The sequence below is a fragment of the Homo sapiens genome, chromosome 12 (genome assembly GCF_000001405.40).
Source record: "Homo sapiens chromosome 12, GRCh38.p14 Primary Assembly".
In the NCBI taxonomy this organism is placed as follows: Eukaryota; Metazoa; Chordata; class Mammalia; order Primates; family Hominidae; genus Homo; species Homo sapiens.
The window spans coordinates 79,768,836-79,787,052 of NC_000012.12; the positions used below are offsets into that span (position 1 = coordinate 79,768,836).

Here is an 18,217-nt window from a genome sequence, read left to right on the forward strand (position 1 = left end):
GGTTCAAGTGATTCTCCTGCTTCAGCCTCTTGAGTAGATGGGACTACAGGCACGCACCACCATGCCCAGCTAATTTTTGTATTTTTAGTAGAGACGGGGTTTCACCATGTTGGCCAGATGGTCTCATCTCTTGACCTCGTGATCCACCTGCCTTGGCCTCCCAAAGTGCTGGGATTACAGGCGTGAGCCACCACGCCCAGCCCATTTTTCCCTAGTTAGCTATTATCATGTAAGGTAACATGTAATGGATTATTTTCAGTCTTTCTGCTATTTGAAAGTAGCCTCCACAAGGCAGGGACTTTATTTTTGCCTGTTTTGCTTTTGGATGTATGCCCATCACCTACAGCAGTGCTTGGCATATAAGAGCTAACAGGAGCTTGTGAATGACAGACAAAGTATGCAAGAATCTGAGTGTTTATATTTAATAGCTTTAAAAAGCTTTTTTAAAAATCTAGATGCTAGCTGAGATTTTTTCTTCCACAACACATACCACAACTATTCAGATTTACTCTTTCCTCCAAAACATTTAGTAAACACCTACTACGTGCCAGGCACTGTGCTAAGTGTTGAGAACAAAGATGAATGAGATTCTGATGTTTCCTGGAGCTCATAGTAAAATAAAGGAAACAACTTTTTTTAAAAAAACACAAATACAAGATATGTGTAGGCGTTTGTACACAGAAAATACTAAAATTTAGGTCCTTTCCCCTCTGGTTTTTCTACTACTAGTCTCAGTAAAGCAAATACTAGACACTAGAGGGACAGTAAAGCACAAAGAAAGAATGAGATACGCAGGACTAAAGCTTCAGCCAAAAGGACAAATCACAGATTATAACATTCTTATGCAGAAGAGCATTATGTAACAAGGTTAGTCTGACCCCGAAGGCTGACAAATGGCCCAGATGACCTCATGATATTTTGAGAAGCATTACGTAAACTTTAAGTATCCACAGTTAGTGATAATCCTGACATTCCAACAAATTATAATATTTTCTTAATAATTATTAGCTATTATCAAGTATTGATTACAACATTTTCTAGCCCACACCACCTGTCTTTTCTATGGCAAACACATTTTGCATATGACGCCTATAAACATCCTGCCACTTTTCCCTATCTTTCCTTCTCTGGTAACAGCAACTAGGGTTCATAAACAAAGCAGATTCATATGAGTAGCAGGTCAGTGTCCCTGGAGTCCTTTAGGACAGATGTGGCAGCATAGTTACAGAGGTTTACTTTGCTCTTTCCAATGGGACAAGGAAGTCCTCTGAAATCCACCTCTTAAACCTTTCTCCCTTACTGGTCTGAGTAAAAAATTAGGTGTTTATGGTAACCAAGTAAATTATTCCAAAATTTTGCTTTAAGGTATTTTAAGAAGAAACAATAACATGTTTTTTAAAACAAGATGCTTTGGATATATGTAATTGACTTTTATCAAATGAAGCTGAGATTTATTATCTAGATGTGATTGAATCCAAAGGACCATGTCAAAGGTTTACAGATCAGTGTCCCCGTAGGGTTTGCAAAGTTATTTAATGGATTTTACCAAATTTAAATTCAAATTTTGCTAAAATGCTTTAATTTTTAGAAATTGTAAAAATAATGTTTAGATATAGGCAAAATTTGGACAATATTGAATACTAGTGCACTAACTTGTACTGCCAGGTTATCTTTGTGTGAGGCTTCTCCTACTCTGTACCTCTATTTGTTTTTCACTGTTGAGGAAAGTAATAGCATACTCACTCACATAAACTAGTATACTACTAGAGCATGTGTATAGTATATATATTATAAAAGTTTAAGTCAGATGCATCTGCTTAGCAATGCTGTGGTCACAACCTAAGAATTGTGCAGTAACAAGTGAAGGAGTCAAGCTGCTGTCATAAAACTGTTTTATAGAGGCCCATTTTGGCTACTGTTTTGGGAGGTGGGGAAGTTCATATCTATGAGTTTCTATAAATTCAATTTTTATGTTTTACATATTTGGTATTCCACACATTTTTCACTGGAAAAGTCTGTTAAAACTGTAGCACTAATAACGTTGCTTATCTTACTAGGGAATAAAAAAGGAATTAAGCTCTGAGCACCAATTTTTAAAAATCTATTTTTGAAGAATGCAAAGGAAATTTTTCATGCAGGTATGTTAAATCTTAATGGACTACTGGCCATCATTAGAATTTGCACCAGAAAATCAACTAACTGCTTGAGCATTACAGCATTCCTCTGTCTAAAACAAAAACAAAAACAAATTATAGGGCAAAGTGGTATTAAGTAAGCCCTAAGAAGGAAAAATATAGCAGGTGTAGGGGTGAGGATGTGAGATTAGAGAATGAGGAGAAAAAAAAAAAAAATCAAGAGGCCGGGCGCGGTAGCTCACGCCTGTAATCCCAACACTTTAGGAGGCTGAGGCGGGCGGATCACGAGGTCAGGAAATCGAGGCCATCCTGGCTAACACGGTGAAACCCCGTCTTTACTAAAAATACAAAAAATTAGCCGGATGTGGTGGTGGGCATCTGTAGTCCCAGCTACTCGGGAGGCTGAGGCAGGAGAATGGCGTGAACCTGGGAGGCGGAGCTTGCAGTGAGCCGAGATCACTGGACTCCAGCCTGGGCGACAGAGTGAGACTCCGTCTCAAAAAAAAAAAAAAAAAAAAAAAAAATCAAGAAATGCCATTCTCCAAGATAATCAAATATTTTAAGCCTAAGTATATAGACTCAAGAAACTTACGCAATTACATGAAAATAATCTATGCAACTAACTGGTATATGAAAAAAAAGTCCTGGATTCAGTTGGGAAAAACCACCACCACAAAGTATCGGTTAAGAGTTTTGTGTTGTACCAGGCTTTGGATGCTGAACAAATAATCCGTAAACCTCAGCTTTCTCACCTGTAAAATGGAGCACTTTAAGGATCAAATGAGATATGCTGTTGAAACAGACCTGTAAGAAAAACTGAGAGTGAGAAAGGGGGGAAGAAAACAAATCTCTTCTTTTCCACTGTCACTCTTCCAGGCCTACAACCACCAAGTACATGTTCTATTAGTTATATATTTTTGAGGACAGAATCTGCTAATATCCTTCATTTCTTCACACTTTTCCCCTTTTCCTTCAGCTTTTTAAAAATGAAAATGCAGTTGGTTTATGAGACCCAGACATTTACTGGAATTTAAGCGGGGACGTGTTGGGATAGCTTGGCTCAAAAGATCTTACTTCTAATAACCTTTAGACAACTTTTAATAAAACTTTGAAGTTACAGTAATAAGGTAGAATCCATTATTTGTTACATTATAGAAATAAGTCTCACACTTCTGACTCCTGTAATTTTATTTTATATTTAATACTTTTGTAATCTGGTTATTTTATAGGCAAGGAACAGCAATATAATACTCTCCACATCACTTACCTAAGAGAAAGAGCACTCGTTTGTATGGCAATTAACGCCAGAGAACCTTTCCAAAATCAAAGTCAAGAAATGGATTCAGTTAGACAGAGATTAATAAAATATGAAAATAATCAATATTTCACTCTAAACCCAATACTTTTAGAGTTCTCATATGTACATTATCCCTGCTGAATATCATATTCAGATACAGAGACCACACACATACAGTGTAAACATGGAACATCAAAGCAGACTCCATCAGCCAGCTTTTGTCTTTGCAAACAAAGGTTATCATTAACAAGATAGAGCTAATGAATAGTTAATAATTTTTAGTGGAGTTTGCTCTGTGTTCTGCTTATAATGTCAAAGTGAAGGATAATCTACAAAGCCATTTATTATGCCCTATGGGAAATGTGTTGGGATTGGGAGTCATGACTGTCTCAGATTAGCCAGGGAAGATTAAGTAGTAATATACTTTTAAGCAAAAGAATAAAGTTAGCCTAATGGATTAGAAAATATCTACTTTACTTTTTTATATGAATACTCCTCTAGAGTTCTATAGTAGCTTTTATTTGGCTTTCAAGTATTTGCATGTAAAATGCTTGTTTTTTTTATGGAGGACAAATAACAGTAAAACCTACCATTCTGAGCATGAATAGGTGAAGTACTGGAAATAGAAATAATAGAATTCAATCCTTGTTGTATTAATTTAGTCAATATTAATTTAGTCAATAGTATTAATTTAGGCTTACTACCAGTCCTCTATCAAAGTTCCAAAATCAAAAGTGCCTTTTTTTTTTTTTTTTTTTGAGACGGAGTCTCACTCTGTTGCCCAGGCTGAAGTGCAGTGGCACAATCTTGGCTCACTACAACCTCTGCCTCCCTGGTTCAAGTGATTCTCCTGTCTCAGCCTCCTGAGTAGCTGGGACTACAGGCGATTGCACCATCATACCTGGCTCATTTTTTATTTTTAGTAGAAACGGGGTTTCGCCCTGTTGGCCAGGCTGGTCTCAAACCCCTGACCTCAGGTGATCCTCCCGCCTGGGCCTCCCAACCATGCCTGGCTAAAAGTGCCTCTTATTTATAGATGTGTTAGCAGGTCGAACCTTGGACAAATCTAAATTGGAAAATGATCTAATATTAAAGTAAACTGTATGTTTCAATGGAATATTACCTTTATATGTATCGCTAAGCCTATGTTTGCAGATAAGAAAAAGCACAGGTTTACTTTAAGAAAAAAAAAAAAAACAATGTTTATGGAAGCGAAATCTTGTGCTACAAAGCAACTACCCTGAAACTCACTGTTATTAATTTTTACCCACTTATTATCATAAAAAAACTAGTTCTCAGATTCTGCATACAGACAGCTTTATGTAAAATATATAAACATTTGTCCAAATTGGTACACAGATTGCATAAATATGGCAATTAAGATTGCATTTACAGATGTGCATGTACAATGCTGTGCAAATTATCACAATATTACAATTTCAGAAATTATTCAAATTGGTATCCAAGTAAAGCAATTAGTGAAAAAATACCCATGCAGAATTTAAATATCTCAGAACAAAATTTAAAATGTCTTCATTAAAAGTTCACACATTTAAAATAGTTTTATTCATTTTATTTGTATATGTCAAAATACATTTTTATTTCCAAAATAGTGGGTTTTGCAACTAGTTTCATGCAGAAACAAGGTCTGCTCAATACTACCAATAAAATCAATATAGCACAGTAGCTGTTCAGTTTTAGATACAAAGAATAAATAACCTAAATACAAAACACTAAAATATTAGAAACATGTATTTAATCATTCTTCACAGGCATCCAAACTTCACAAATATAAACCATAGCATGCCTAACTGTTGTGCAACCAGAACATGTTGCAGTCACTCAAACTGATCAGTTATCTGTATATTTTACCTCCACATAAGACCATGGAAATTCTCAATATTCAGACCTACCATTCATACAGTTCAAATATAACCAAAAATAAAACTCCCACAACTATCCTTGTACCTTTAAAATCAAGAATCCTGAGCTTGGTAGTAAGAGCATAACCTTATATCTTCATAAAACCAATCGAGAGAGAGAGGACTTAAAATCCTGCTTACCAAAACACCCTTCCCCAACCCCAAAGTAATCTAAAATAGGCAGTAGAACACAATGACCTTTTAAAATGAAGGGGTACAAATTCACATTTAATATAGTATACAATACAATCAATAATACAATCAGCTACTATAAGCTTTACAATGTACAATTTATTCAAATGGCTGAACTGTTCAGTGGTTAAGGAGACAGTTATGTGCCAGAAAGATGTAGTATTTTTTGCATGGTTTAATGAAAATATAAAAGCTATTTGTCCAAATAAAAGCCATCGTCACTATGTACTTGGTTTTGCGCTTTTTTTTCCTTAAAAAAAAAAAAAGGCCACTGAAATGTATAAAATGGTCTGAACATGATGGTGGTATCAAAGTCGATGCCTCTTCACATGGCAATAACAGTGCATTTAACATTAACTCACGGGTTAATTCTGCAAATGATTTCATAGCATTACTTTGGCTAGCACAACAGTTTTAGACAGCACTCAGATAAATATAGGTATGTGAAATGTAAAGCAATTATCTTATGCAACTTTAATTATGGTTGAGTACTATCAAGTGAAAACTGAAAATAAAAGCACTTTACAGTAGGAAACTTTTGTAAAGATAGGGCTCCACATAATGTGTAACTTTTAAAGTCTTTATATCACATTGTTAGCAAATTTTGTTTTTTAACACTATCATGGAGTAGCCTACTCTGCATTAGCAGACATTTGAAATAAGAAATAGTCAAGCATGCCATGTGGTGGTCTAAAAATCAAAACAATACACTTATTTGTATATACAGCATCACTCAGTACCTGCTAAAATGAATGTGAAGATTACAGAATCTAACATCTTATACTACAATAAAAAAAAAGTGACCAATGAAGCAGAAAATAGGAATTAAAAGATCTAACCTCAAATGACTTTAAAGCATTCATATAAGAAATAAATGCATATTGCACAAACAGTGAAAGCATATGTTCCACCAAGCAATTCAGTTCCAGGTGGGAGACAACACAGCATTAGCCTAATACATGACAATAATCACAGAAGAGCAAGTGTTCTTTTCTGTAATGAAAAAGCTGTGAAAACATAGAAGACTCTGCCACATGAAGAGTTTAGAAGGAAAAAATACAAACCCAAACTTAGATGAAAAGCCAAAAAATTTAAATATCGAAAAACTCGAAACTGTGGCACATCAAAAAATGTTGAGTAACTGTCTTCTGTGAGAGCTGAAAGTTTTTGTTGACACAAAAGTATTTATGTACAACTAAGGCTTACTGGTTAAATATCTGAGGCATATCTGGCCTTGAACACTTTCCTTATATGCTGGAGCTGTAAACAAGTTTTCTCAGTCATTAAAAAAAAATCTTCTCAGCAGCTGCATTAACATGAAACAATGGTCTTGATTAAAAAAAAAAAACAAAAAACAAACCAACAACAACAAAAACACCCCAGAAAATTAAACAAAATGAAACAAAAATTCTAGATAAGAGGGCATTTGGCAGGATATCCGAAAATGACAGTCTCCAAGGATTCTTCCCAGACTTCCAGTGACTGCCAATTATGGTCCACTGGGTTACTAATATGTGCAATTCCATTACTTGCTGCTTTTTTTTTTTTTATTTGGAAAGTTTGCTTATAACTCTGATCAAGGCCCCATTTTCATCCTTTAGCCTCTGGTTGTCTGCTTTTAGGTCTGGTAACATCTATAAAGAGAAAAATTGAAGATCAAGTTTTACCTTCAATATTAAAAGATAAAACATTATTCTTAATAAATGTTATATTTTCACCACAAAACACATGATCAAGCTTTGTCAGTTATATATATTTCTAGTATCTAAAACATGTATCAGGAAGAAGGAAAAAAACCACACCTGGATTTGTAAAGCTAATTAGTTTCATAAATGCTGGAATGAAAGGTTTATTCTCTCCAAATTTTCCATTGAAATTTACTAAATCACTTGATTTTATGACTCACAAGCACACCACATTCCAGCAGCCAAGACAAGCCTGTTTTTGTTAGGATAGGCTCTTAAAAGAGGTTCCTGTCAGCACCTAAACCAAAGACTTTTGCTTTTATGTATGTCAGACCTAAAATCATAATACTTAATATTGTTCCACAAGAAAGTCAAACTACCTAGGAAAACATTGAGGAAATTAGACTTGTTCTAAATTATTAAAATTCCTTAAACGATTCACCTACAGTAGCTCAGTTTAAAATGCCTAAACAATGTCCGATCCCAGATAGATGCTTATTAAATGGTAACAAGCAATTACTATTATTAGAATAGTGCATCATGTTTAAGCTAAAGTAGAAAGTCTGTATCTATGATCCAACTATTACAAAAATAACCAATTTTGAAGCAAATAGCCTCATATCTTCAAACAACACATCTCAATTTTCTGTTGTTTTACAGACAAATTGATGAAGGGGTGAAAATATTACAAGTTAACTGAATACTCTACTAAGGATGATTAAAACTGTATGTTCTTTGCCAGTTTCACTAGGAAATGAAATAGCTCATATTTTTGGTCCCTAAACCATACTTTCCAAAATAGTCCTCTTTCCTCAGTTTTCAAAATGTATTAGTTTATCTAACTTGATAAAAGTAAAACTTCTATTTGCAAAACTAGGTAAAGCAAAATCTTTAAGAAGATTTAATTTTACGTGGAACCAATATGTTCTTATCTGTGTTCAGAATCTTTAAGATATAAAATATAGTAATATTAAGTTTATTCATTTGAATATTTGTAATATAAACTTAAATATAAACTAATGTGGTTCTGACTTCAAATGACATTATTTTGAAAAACATAATGCATGCTTAATCTTCAGCTTCAAAATATATTAATTATATGTAAAATGTTATATACTGTTGGTTTTCTCTCTAGTAAAGAACTGTAAATAATAGTCATATTTTAAGTCCTAAAATATCTGTATAGCTAAAAAATGTGCAAAAGCTTTACAAAAGTACAGATAAGTCTTTAACTTAAATTCCAAAATCATCCCTAATTTTAATGTAGCTCATCAATTGCAATATACAATTAGTGACAATTTCTAACATTCTAAGAAGCCATGCATAATTAGTTATATGATATGCTCCAGACACAATGGCATTAATTTGTAAAAGTGAGCTCTTACAAAACACGCCTACTAATATAAAAACACCTGCCTGGCTCTACCAAGAAGAAATGATGAAACTAAAAATTATAGGTTCACAGACTGCAGTTGCCTATAGAACCCTGAGCGCTTGGCTACCACTCTTGTCAAGGCCCTATTCTCAGTCAGCAGTCGCTCATTTAACTCCCTCAGAGATTGAATTTGCTTTATTTGGTGCAGGTTCTGCAGGAATCAGAACATAAAGAAATAGGAATAAAAAATAAGAAAATGGAAAAGAGTATAATAAGAATGTAATCACAGGTAATTTTTTAAAAATATTACGTCTTAAAGGAACAAGAGATTCAGAAAGGTAAACACTGTATTCCTAAAATTCTATTTCAAACTAAGTAATACATAAGCAAACAAAATACAAAAGATTTGTCTCCAATCTTCAAAGCCATTCAATAATGGTCTAATAACAAACCAAACAATTTAATAATGAAATATCTAAATCTTGAACTTCTAATTCTGTGGGTACAATATACTTACTATGCACTGGTTCATTAATTCACAATGTGATAAAGATTTTATGAAGGACAGTGTGGTAAGAGGTAATCAATTAACTATGCTACTTGTGAAGACATTCAAAACATAATTATTTCTATAGGTAATATGGAGTTTGATAAAATACAGCTCTGCCTGTTCACTCCCCTAATGTCCTTTACTTTCAAAGGAGAACATTTTATAGTAACCCCCTCCACTACTTACTCGCCAAAAAACATGAAAGTATATAGAAACATAAAGAATAAATAATAAATCCTACATCTTATTATTATTGTCTAACTTTTTCTATACCTGAACAGCAAAAGTGCTACACAAATTAATTATCAAAATAATTCGGGTTTTATTTTTTATTTTATTTTTGCTCCTTCTTTTCATAGGTGTTAAGATTTGGGTTTTAGACCCTCTTCTGGCTCACTAAAACCTGGATTCAGGAAGAAAGAGAAGCACCAGATATAGACAGTTCACAAATTGGGTAATCAGCTTTGAGAACAATTAATGTAAACCATATCTATAATAGTATTTTAAACATTAATACATAAACAGCACTCTCTCTCATAAGTAACATAGTTTACTTACTTTGAGCTCTTCTTCCATTTCAGATATTCTTCTTTCTAGAGCTCTTCGTTCCTAGATCGATTTAAGGTACCAATGTTAGTTATATAATTATTATATTCTTAAGTCTTCTTCTATACTGTGAAATAGTGATACTTCAGAATTAAAGGTCCAATCAGGAGCAGTGTAGAAAAGATGTGATGCCAGTGATATGTAAAGAGCTTTCCAAAATTTGACAAAAATAAATATGAAGATCTTTATCCTTAGAGTACAAGCTCTTAATTTAAAGCTTTGACTTTCTGGGAAGATGCTACATAACATATTCAAACTACTTTTTGAGTTCATGTAAAACTTAGAGTGAATCAATACTCAAGACTGAAGACTGTACAGAGAAGAAAAACAAAACTCACACAAAGATGCAATCATATTACAGTGACAGAAGCAGAAAAGCAAGAAGCAAACATGCCTAAAATATGTGTACTTTGCAATTTCAGAGGAATGTAAGAGAAGCTCATTTCCTCCACTCACAATGTGTACTAGCCATTATTTATCCAACTGACTTTATAGCTTTGTATTTAGGTTGACATTATGTGTAGCATTAATGCAGTGAATGTAATAGAAAAGCAACTGCAGCGTTTATTTTAAACTTGTTTCAAAGAGTGACAGGCAAAGCCAACACACAACACATTATTGCAGTGTACTGTTTTATTCTCCCTTAAATGATAAGCATTCTGGGGTGTTATGCAAAAAGCAAGCAGCAGTAATTGATGAGCTGTAAAACTGGTTAGGTCATACCGCCCAGAAGATACTGACTCTTGCCGGTCACCTTTCAGATACAAACCATTTAAATTTAGTTTAATCACACTGAAACTATTTCCAAGACACTCTTTCCCAGATTAATAAATAATGCTGATATTTAGTCAAGCAGTACATTTACTGTAAATGTTAATGTTTTTAGGGTATGTGATTTTAAAAAGTAGACAGAATCCTACTGATCGTCTTTTAAGTACCATGTTATTCCAACATCGGCATGCCTAAACATTATTGTATAGACAGAAACATTATTTTCAATACATAGATCTTTCTTCTACTAAATAATACAGTCATGACAAATTCATACAAATCATCACACTTCTCAAAATACTAGCACATAAAGTGTCATATTTGATCTTTACCACTTTGCAAAATATCAGAAATAGAATATTTCTTCTGAGAGGTAATCTCCCTATGAGCCTCAATTTTATTAGGTGTCTTCAAGATTTTAAATTAGTGGTAAAGTAAGACAAGAAAACTACACCCAACTGCCTGATTCTATTAGCTCAATGAAATTGACATCTGTAAAATGATATGAAATTTCTTATGTTTGACAAACATATTAACATTAAAAAATATAACTGGCCAGGCACAATGGCTCAAGCCTGTAATCCCAGCACTTTGGGAGGCCTAGGTGAAAGGATGCATAAAGCCAAGAGTTCAAGACCAGCCTTGGCAACAAAGTGAGACCTTGTCTCCAAAAAGAAATTAAAAAAATAGTTGGGTGTGGAGACATGCACCTGTAGTGCCAGCTATTCTGGAGGCTGATGCAGGAGGATTGCTTGAACCCAGGAACTGGAGGATGCAGTGATCGGTGACTGTGCCACTGTACTCCAGCCTGGGTGACAGAGCAATATTCTGTCTCTTTAAAAAAACAGACAAACAAACAAAAAAAAAACACAAGGAAAAAAAATATGGTTTAGAGAAAATGCATGTAAAGTGTTTAATTTTGTGCCTGCTTGATATACAGAGAATGATGAATAAATGTTAGCAGTTACTATTAATACCATGATTATAGAGAGTGGATTAGCTACTTTGTAATTTATCTGCATTTGACAAGCAGAAAAAGGAGGTTAGGTGAGCTTGTCAGAGTATGAATGTGTCTGCATCATGTGTATGTTAGAAAAAAAAAGTATCAAAATATCAGCTATCTCTGCATGACAGATTACAGATAATTTAATATTGTCTTCTTTTGTTAAAGTTTCTGTAATAAACATATTACTTTCATAAGAAAAATTAAATATTTAAAATTGTGATTGTATTTGAAAAATAAATACTACTTTAAGTACAGTTTGTTATCCATGCCTTTCATCTCAACCGTTAGTATAACAGAGAACTGATTTTATTATTTCTGCCTATCCTGGAGATAAAATTCAGTAACAGTTAAATATTCTAACAGGATATAATAATATTAAATTTATTAAAACAATATTTTAGCAATTATTATGTCCATTTTGAAAACATGACTCAGAACACTAATTTTTAAAACTTGCAGAAAGCATAATAAAATGGTAGCTATTGCAAGGTACAACTAGCAAATGACAGACATTATAACACTATTTTTATATTCTTTTTTTTTAACCATTTCTCTTTTTTTTGGTGAAAAGGGCAAATTGGTTATTTTAAAATAGAATGGAAGAAAAATGTTTTTATATCAATAGCTCCTAAGTATTTACTCTTTGATCATAGCTACCAGCATGTCATTTCTTCTCTGGTCGAAACCCTACCAAGTCTAGCTACTGCTCAGCTACACTACAAACAATCTTTGGGCACTTTTCCTTTAACTTTTGGATCATTTATACATTTTCAACTGATGAGGCTAAACTTGTACAGTTATTCCTATGACTACTCCTAGACCTTTGAGCAACAATAAGTGAAGAGAAATACAAGTGAATGTATTACAATCAATAAAAACTTGCAGAAAGACATCAAGTGGCATAAGGATTTTCTTGTAATCTTTTTTTTGTTTAAAATAGCCTACTTAAGTTAAATATTTAAACTCAAAATTTTAAAAAATTATTAAATTAACTTTAAAAAGAATTTGAAAATTTGATGTTCCAGATTTAGAAACTTTATTTCAAGAACGAAAGTATTTTAGGTTTATAAAGAATTAAAATAAATGTATTTATGATTAAAACGTTTTAGGTACAGGCCATAAGAGATAAACGGCATTTCAAAAATATCAAATTCACTATCAAAATGTGTATAGTACATTTCAGAATCAAGGCAAGACAGTTTTTTTAAATTCATTAAAAGAATTATGTGGTAAATTAAATTTTATTTAACAAGGTCATTTCATACCTAGAGAAACCCCATAGAATTCTATAAAGAAGTTGCTGCAAAATACATTAACTCAATAAATATTTAAACTAATTAAAACTGTCATCCATAATAACAAAATAAAAACAAAAAACCTACCATTGTTTACCTAAAACAAGAAAGAAAAAAATAATTATTTAATAAGTGGGACACTTACCCTTTTTTCCATTTCCAACAGTGATCTATCAGCAAATCTTTCTTGTCTCTGCAACAAAGTAAGAAATTATAAAAGAGATAAGTGCAAAAAAGTTCAGGGGTGACCACAGTAATTCTCTTTTAATAGGTATTAAATCACAATATTCAAGTGGAGTAAAACACAGGTTCGTGAGTAAAGCAAAGAGAAAACAGGATTTGTATTAAAATAATAAAGAGTGCAATGAATGTTTAGAAATAGAATGGTAACCAGAGCTCTCATTTTATGTTCTCTATCACTTTTCCCCAGGAACTTTCATAGTTTAGTTGGGCGTGAGGGTGAGTGAGTATGTGGAAGAAAAACAAAAAAAAACTGTAGCTTTCCTTCTGAAGCTCAAATTCTTTCCTTTCCTACACCATCAGGAGTGGCTAATCAGAATGGTCAGATTCCAGGACCTTGATTGAAATATATTCATCAGCAGGTTGAATGACTCTGTATCCATGCAGCCAGACCAGTAAACTGGCCTTTTTATCTTCTCCCACAGCTATCTTGGTCTTGGCTCACACTCTAGGTTTCTTTTCCAATCATCCATGCTCCACAATTGGTTCACATCCACTTTCACTTATAAGAAATTCTAGCTGTACAGCTTTCTTCTGCTGGTGAGCTCAGGCCTTTCATTTTTTCCACTTCCTGTACTATCTGACCAGCTCAAAGCTGATGAAATCCTGATATATAAGCTTGGCTTTAAGGGATGGAAAAGCACCTTGGGTTTTAGCCTACCTGTTGTATCCTGTACTGGAGAGCTCTGGACATTAAGCACAGGCACAGTTTAAGAACAAAACAAAAAAAGAAAAAAAAAGAAAAAAACAGTGGCATCTTAGATTTTATTTACATTGATCTCTGTACAAACATCTCCCTTGGAATTCCTGGTCAATTTGCTGAAAATGAATTCCTCAAAAGCCAACTTGCTGAATAACCAATTTTACTAATTTACCAAAAATGGTTTTTGACCACTTTAACAAGAATGCTTTATGAGTGCTAACCACAAAATATGCTTTAAAAACATATTGATTAAACACAATTTCACTGTTAAATGTGGTAATTTTAAAAATATTTCTTTACATAATTTTCTTTTATGCCAACCCTTTCAGTATTCATGTTTTAGTATCTCTAGGACTTATAACCAAGTCACTTTTTGATCCCTCTTTCACAATTTTTACGGTTATGGTGTGTAACATTTAAAGAACTAATCATGGCTAGGTTTTCTTACTTTTTCTCTTATTTTAAAATGGCTTCAAGCTTTTGTGCTTACTCTTTCTGGAAACATAAAAGTCAATATTCCAATTGGTTCTTGTGAGAAATTCAGTTCAGAATTTCAAATATGAGGCTGGGTGTAGTGGCTTACACCTGTAATTCTAACACTTTGTGAGGCTGAGATGGGCAGATCACTTGAGCCCAGGAGTTCAAGACCAGCCTGGGCAACACGGTGAAACCCCGTCTCTACCAAAAAAAAAAAAAAAAAAGGAAAATTAAACAGGTGTGGTGGCATTGCCTGTAGTCCTAACTACCTGGGAGGCTAAGGTGGGATGATTGCTTGAGCCAGGGATATTGAGGCTGCAGTGAGCCCTGACTGTACCACTGCACTCCAGCTTGAGTGACACAGCGAGATGCTGTATCCATTAAAAAAAATAATAATTCAAATATGAATAAGACTGCTTAGTTAATTCTCATTTATTTTTGGTTTTGAATTTAAACATTTAATTGCTAGAAATATAAAACAAAGGCTGATACACCACGTGAGGATTTAAAAATAAATCATAGAAACTCTTTACAAGACCAAAAAAATTTTAAATAACATTCAAAAGCACCTGAAAAAAATCAAATAGCCAAAATAATAACAACACATGTAAATTAACAAAACATGGAAAAATAGCATTTCACTGGAGATTTTTTCATATGGGAAGATTTTAGCAATTATATGTGGTTTGCCAATTTCATTGATTAGAAAACATTAACATCAGTTTAGATAGTATTTTTACTTAGTTAACTTTCTTGTTAAACATTCCAGTTAAAGCTGTTAAAATCACAATGGTTAAATCTGGTGAAATGGTCATTTGGCAAAGTGGTATTCAGCAAACTGGTTCTGGTAAGCTGGCATATTTTTTCCCTTCCTTGGAGATGATATGGGAAGGAGGGTACCTGGGCTAGGGCAAGAGTCAAGGATTCCAGAGTCTCTTGGCTAAATAGTATCAAACAGACCTAAACTTCAAGATTAATTTCATGCAACTATCAAAACTGCCACTGCTATTTGTGGCAAATATCTGACGCAAATATTTGTGTATTTGTGAATAGTTATGAAGTCAATCAATGCCAAAAAAAAAAGGTGGAAAAGTTCACAGTAGATTCAGGATAAATACCTGAAAGTTGAACCCCTGATTAAAGTTACTTTAATGCTTATCAGTTTTACTTTTATGAATTATACTTCTCATTATTAACTCAGCATACTGGATGCGATACTCAGAGTACCTGCCAAGGCAGAAGCTGGGATATTTTTTAATCCTACTTCTCTTGCCAGGTAACAGAAATTGGTACCTGACCCACAGGCAACTTTCTGTCCAGTGACCTATGAAATGGTCACTAACAAAACAGGCTGCTCCATACTGGGTAGTAACAGGCTAATTCTATCAATTCCCCTCTCTTGCAGGGTTTGACTGAGAGACATACAGGAAGAATTACATGACAATGAAGTAGGCAGCAGAGCAGAACACAGAGAAGGCATTAAGTAGCGGAGACACAGATGAGCTGAGTCACCATGACAGAACACTATAGTAGGGAGCAGTGGATATTTATTTATTTATTTATTTGAGATGGAGTCTTGCTCTGTCACCCAGGCTGGAGTTGCAGTGGCACGATCTTGGCTTACTGCAACCTCCACCTCCCGGGTTCAAGCAATTCTCCTGCCTCAGCTCCCAAGTAGCTGGGACTACAGGCGCCCACCACCACACCCAGCTATTTTTTCTGTATTTTTAGTAGAGATGAGGTTTCACTATGTTGGCCAGGCTGGTCTCGAGCTCGTGACCTCAGGTGATCCGCCCACCTTGGACTCCCAAAGTGCTGGAATTACAGGCGTGAGCCACCGCGCCTGGCTGCAGTGGACATCTTTACTTAGAACATTATAATGAAATCCCTAGAGCTGAAGCTATGCTCAGAGAACTCATTATATTTTTATGTATACAGGCTCACTAAGATACTAATGCAACCTGAAGGATGATGACAAGTTCACTGATTAAAAAACAGCAACATCAGTTTAGGTATTTTTACTGTTAACTTTTCTGCTAAACATTCCAGTTTACCATGAAGCCTAAATATAAGTAGTAGTTTTAATGTGTATGACACTGTAAGTTTTTATGACATCTCACTATGAAACCTATTCTTGTTCTGTTTTACTTTTCTGTTTATCTTTACAAAAACCTCCATTAACATGAAGGAATTTGAGGAGTGGTGAGGTTAGCCTGAACCCTAGAAGTTTGGCATAGTAGCTACCGTGCACAGACAATCGCTTTACAACACAACAATGGTTAAAAAAAGGATCTGGTAACAAGTTTAAGTTCAACAAACAGAATGAACTTTTTTGGTTTTTGTTTTGTTGTTGTTTTTTTAGAATTAATTTTTAAAAATTAAGAAAAAGATGAGTGTAAAGACTGACCAAAAAAAGTACATAGTCCCATTCACAGATCTGGATATGCTGTTTTTAGATCCATGCTTTCAGCTGGATTCTAAGAGTTGTGCTGCAGAAATACGTTTATGCTAGAAAGTCCCAGGTTAAAATTGAACACATTTGTTTTCTTAAAAATTACAGGATGCCTTAGAGCCTTTAGCATATAAATAGACCCTGTAAAGTCTTTAACATGTAAAATATGTAGTATTTCCCTAGTTTCTTTGATCACAAAGCTTTTTTTTTGTTTTTTGAAAGGAGGGAAATGAGGAGAAGATGTACCTATTCCTGTCTCCCAGAACTAATGTTCCATGGAAATGGAAAAGTGGCTTGGGAAACAATTGCTAGATCATATGTACAAGGTTGTGAGTTTTGCTTGGCCATCCCAATTTTATTGTCCAAATTTATCTTCTCTAGACTGCTGCATAGAAGGAACTTACAAAAGGAGTTATGATTAAAATTATCTTCTTCCAGCACTATAATATAAAATAACCTTTACTTGAACAAACATAAAATATTTGTAGTAAACAAAAACTATTATAAAATTTTTTATATGGCTATAAGATGATTCTGTATAGATGCTTTTAATGTTTTAATGACTTGCTACATTTGGTATTCTGGAAATAAACATTTAAAACCTTGACATACCACAACATTGGTATTAAAAGGCTTTTTATAAGTTGACTTTTGACTATGACTATTTTTTAAATTTACTCCAGAAAAAGTAAATCATCCATAAACAGCATTATCTTCTATTACCAATTATCAAACTTCTATTTAGAGTATTAGAAAAAATTTTAATACCATTTTTAGATGGGATAAATCACAACCATTACCTTGAGAGTAACAAAAAGAAAAGGGTACAAACCTGGGTGGCCTTTTCCAACTGTAATTTAAGATCTGTTAGTTCCATATTTGTATCATGTAGCTGTGCCTTCAGCTTTTCATTTTCAGCTAGAATTTGTTCATAAAGCTATAAAAATTAGGGTAAAAGAACAAATTACTTTTCTGCTCTCCTATTACTTTAAAATTTCTCATTGATTACTTTGCAATATTAAAACAGCTTAATGTAGCATATGAGCTATAAAGGATACATTTAAAAAATCCTTCATGGTTGCAAAGCAGAGACTGTTCGTTATGCAAGTGTGTTTGTCCCATATAAAGTCTTAAAATTAGTTCCAGTATTCAAAAATCAAGACTTCACAGAAAAATTGGACTTTTCAGGTTATCTTAAAAAAGATTCAGTTATCTGATAAAGAGGGACCACATACCTGCACAGCAACTGCAGCTAGGGCTAAGGAGTCACTGTGATCTTTATTTGGAGTCCGTGAGATTTTCTGCCCATCACTCTCTCTTGCATTCCCAAAAATGAGACGGAGTACCAGCTGTATTTATCATTATACTTCTACATTGCTTATAGTAAAGTTAAAAGGCAAATGACGTATTTCCTGAAATATTTCAAATCCAGGATAAAATCCAAGACCTTCCCCTTTTCTAATGCTTTTCGTCTTTCTTAACACTCCTTCTTCCTTATCCCTGCTTTACTA

General features: G+C 33.8%; 1 protein-coding gene and 1 long non-coding RNA gene across 6 annotated transcripts in view, besides 2 other annotated features; one reads left to right on the top strand and one right to left on the bottom strand.

Annotated features, from left to right (window-relative positions):
• PPP1R12A-AS2 (PPP1R12A antisense RNA 2) overlaps positions 1 to 11,071 on the top strand; it is an 89,875-nt gene extending 78,804 nt beyond the window's left edge. Inside the window, exons 5-7 of the long non-coding RNA NR_187531.1 lie at positions 2,058 to 2,138; positions 9,516 to 9,610; positions 9,738 to 11,071. This is a non-coding gene — a long non-coding RNA (PPP1R12A antisense RNA 2). The remainder of the gene's footprint in view (positions 1 to 2,057; positions 2,139 to 9,515; positions 9,611 to 9,737) is intronic.
• Positions 4,728 to 18,217, bottom strand: part of PPP1R12A (protein phosphatase 1 regulatory subunit 12A) — a 161,898-nt gene continuing 148,408 nt past the window's right edge. For 3 of the 5 annotated variants that reach the window (NM_001143885.2, NM_002480.3, NM_001143886.2), the window contains 4 exons: positions 17,539 to 17,643; positions 12,980 to 13,027; positions 9,715 to 9,765; positions 4,733 to 7,180 (listed from right to left, as the gene is read on the bottom strand). In NM_001143885.2, coding sequence (NP_001137357.1) covers positions 7,094 to 7,180; positions 9,715 to 9,765; positions 12,980 to 13,027; positions 17,539 to 17,643 — 291 coding nt within the window. In that variant the 3' untranslated portion in view covers positions 4,733 to 7,093. Of the gene's footprint in view, positions 7,181 to 9,714; positions 9,766 to 12,979; positions 13,028 to 17,538; positions 17,644 to 18,217 lie in introns of all 5 variants that reach the window. The other 2 variants (NM_001244992.1, NM_001244990.2) reach the window with 2 other exon arrangements.
• Positions 15,350 to 15,942: an enhancer, noted in NCBI's record as "NANOG-H3K27ac-H3K4me1 hESC enhancer chr12:80177965-80178557 (GRCh37/hg19 assembly coordinates)". NCBI's record gives its function as "activates a minimal SCP1, AML or CMV promoter by ChIP-STARR-seq in primed H9 embryonic stem cells {active_cell/tissue: H9 hESC(primed)}" and the evidence as "EXISTENCE:reporter gene assay evidence [ECO:0000049][PMID:30033119]".
• Positions 15,943 to 16,534: an enhancer, noted in NCBI's record as "NANOG-H3K27ac-H3K4me1 hESC enhancer chr12:80178558-80179149 (GRCh37/hg19 assembly coordinates)". NCBI's record gives its function as "activates a minimal SCP1, AML or CMV promoter by ChIP-STARR-seq in primed H9 embryonic stem cells {active_cell/tissue: H9 hESC(primed)}" and the evidence as "EXISTENCE:reporter gene assay evidence [ECO:0000049][PMID:30033119]".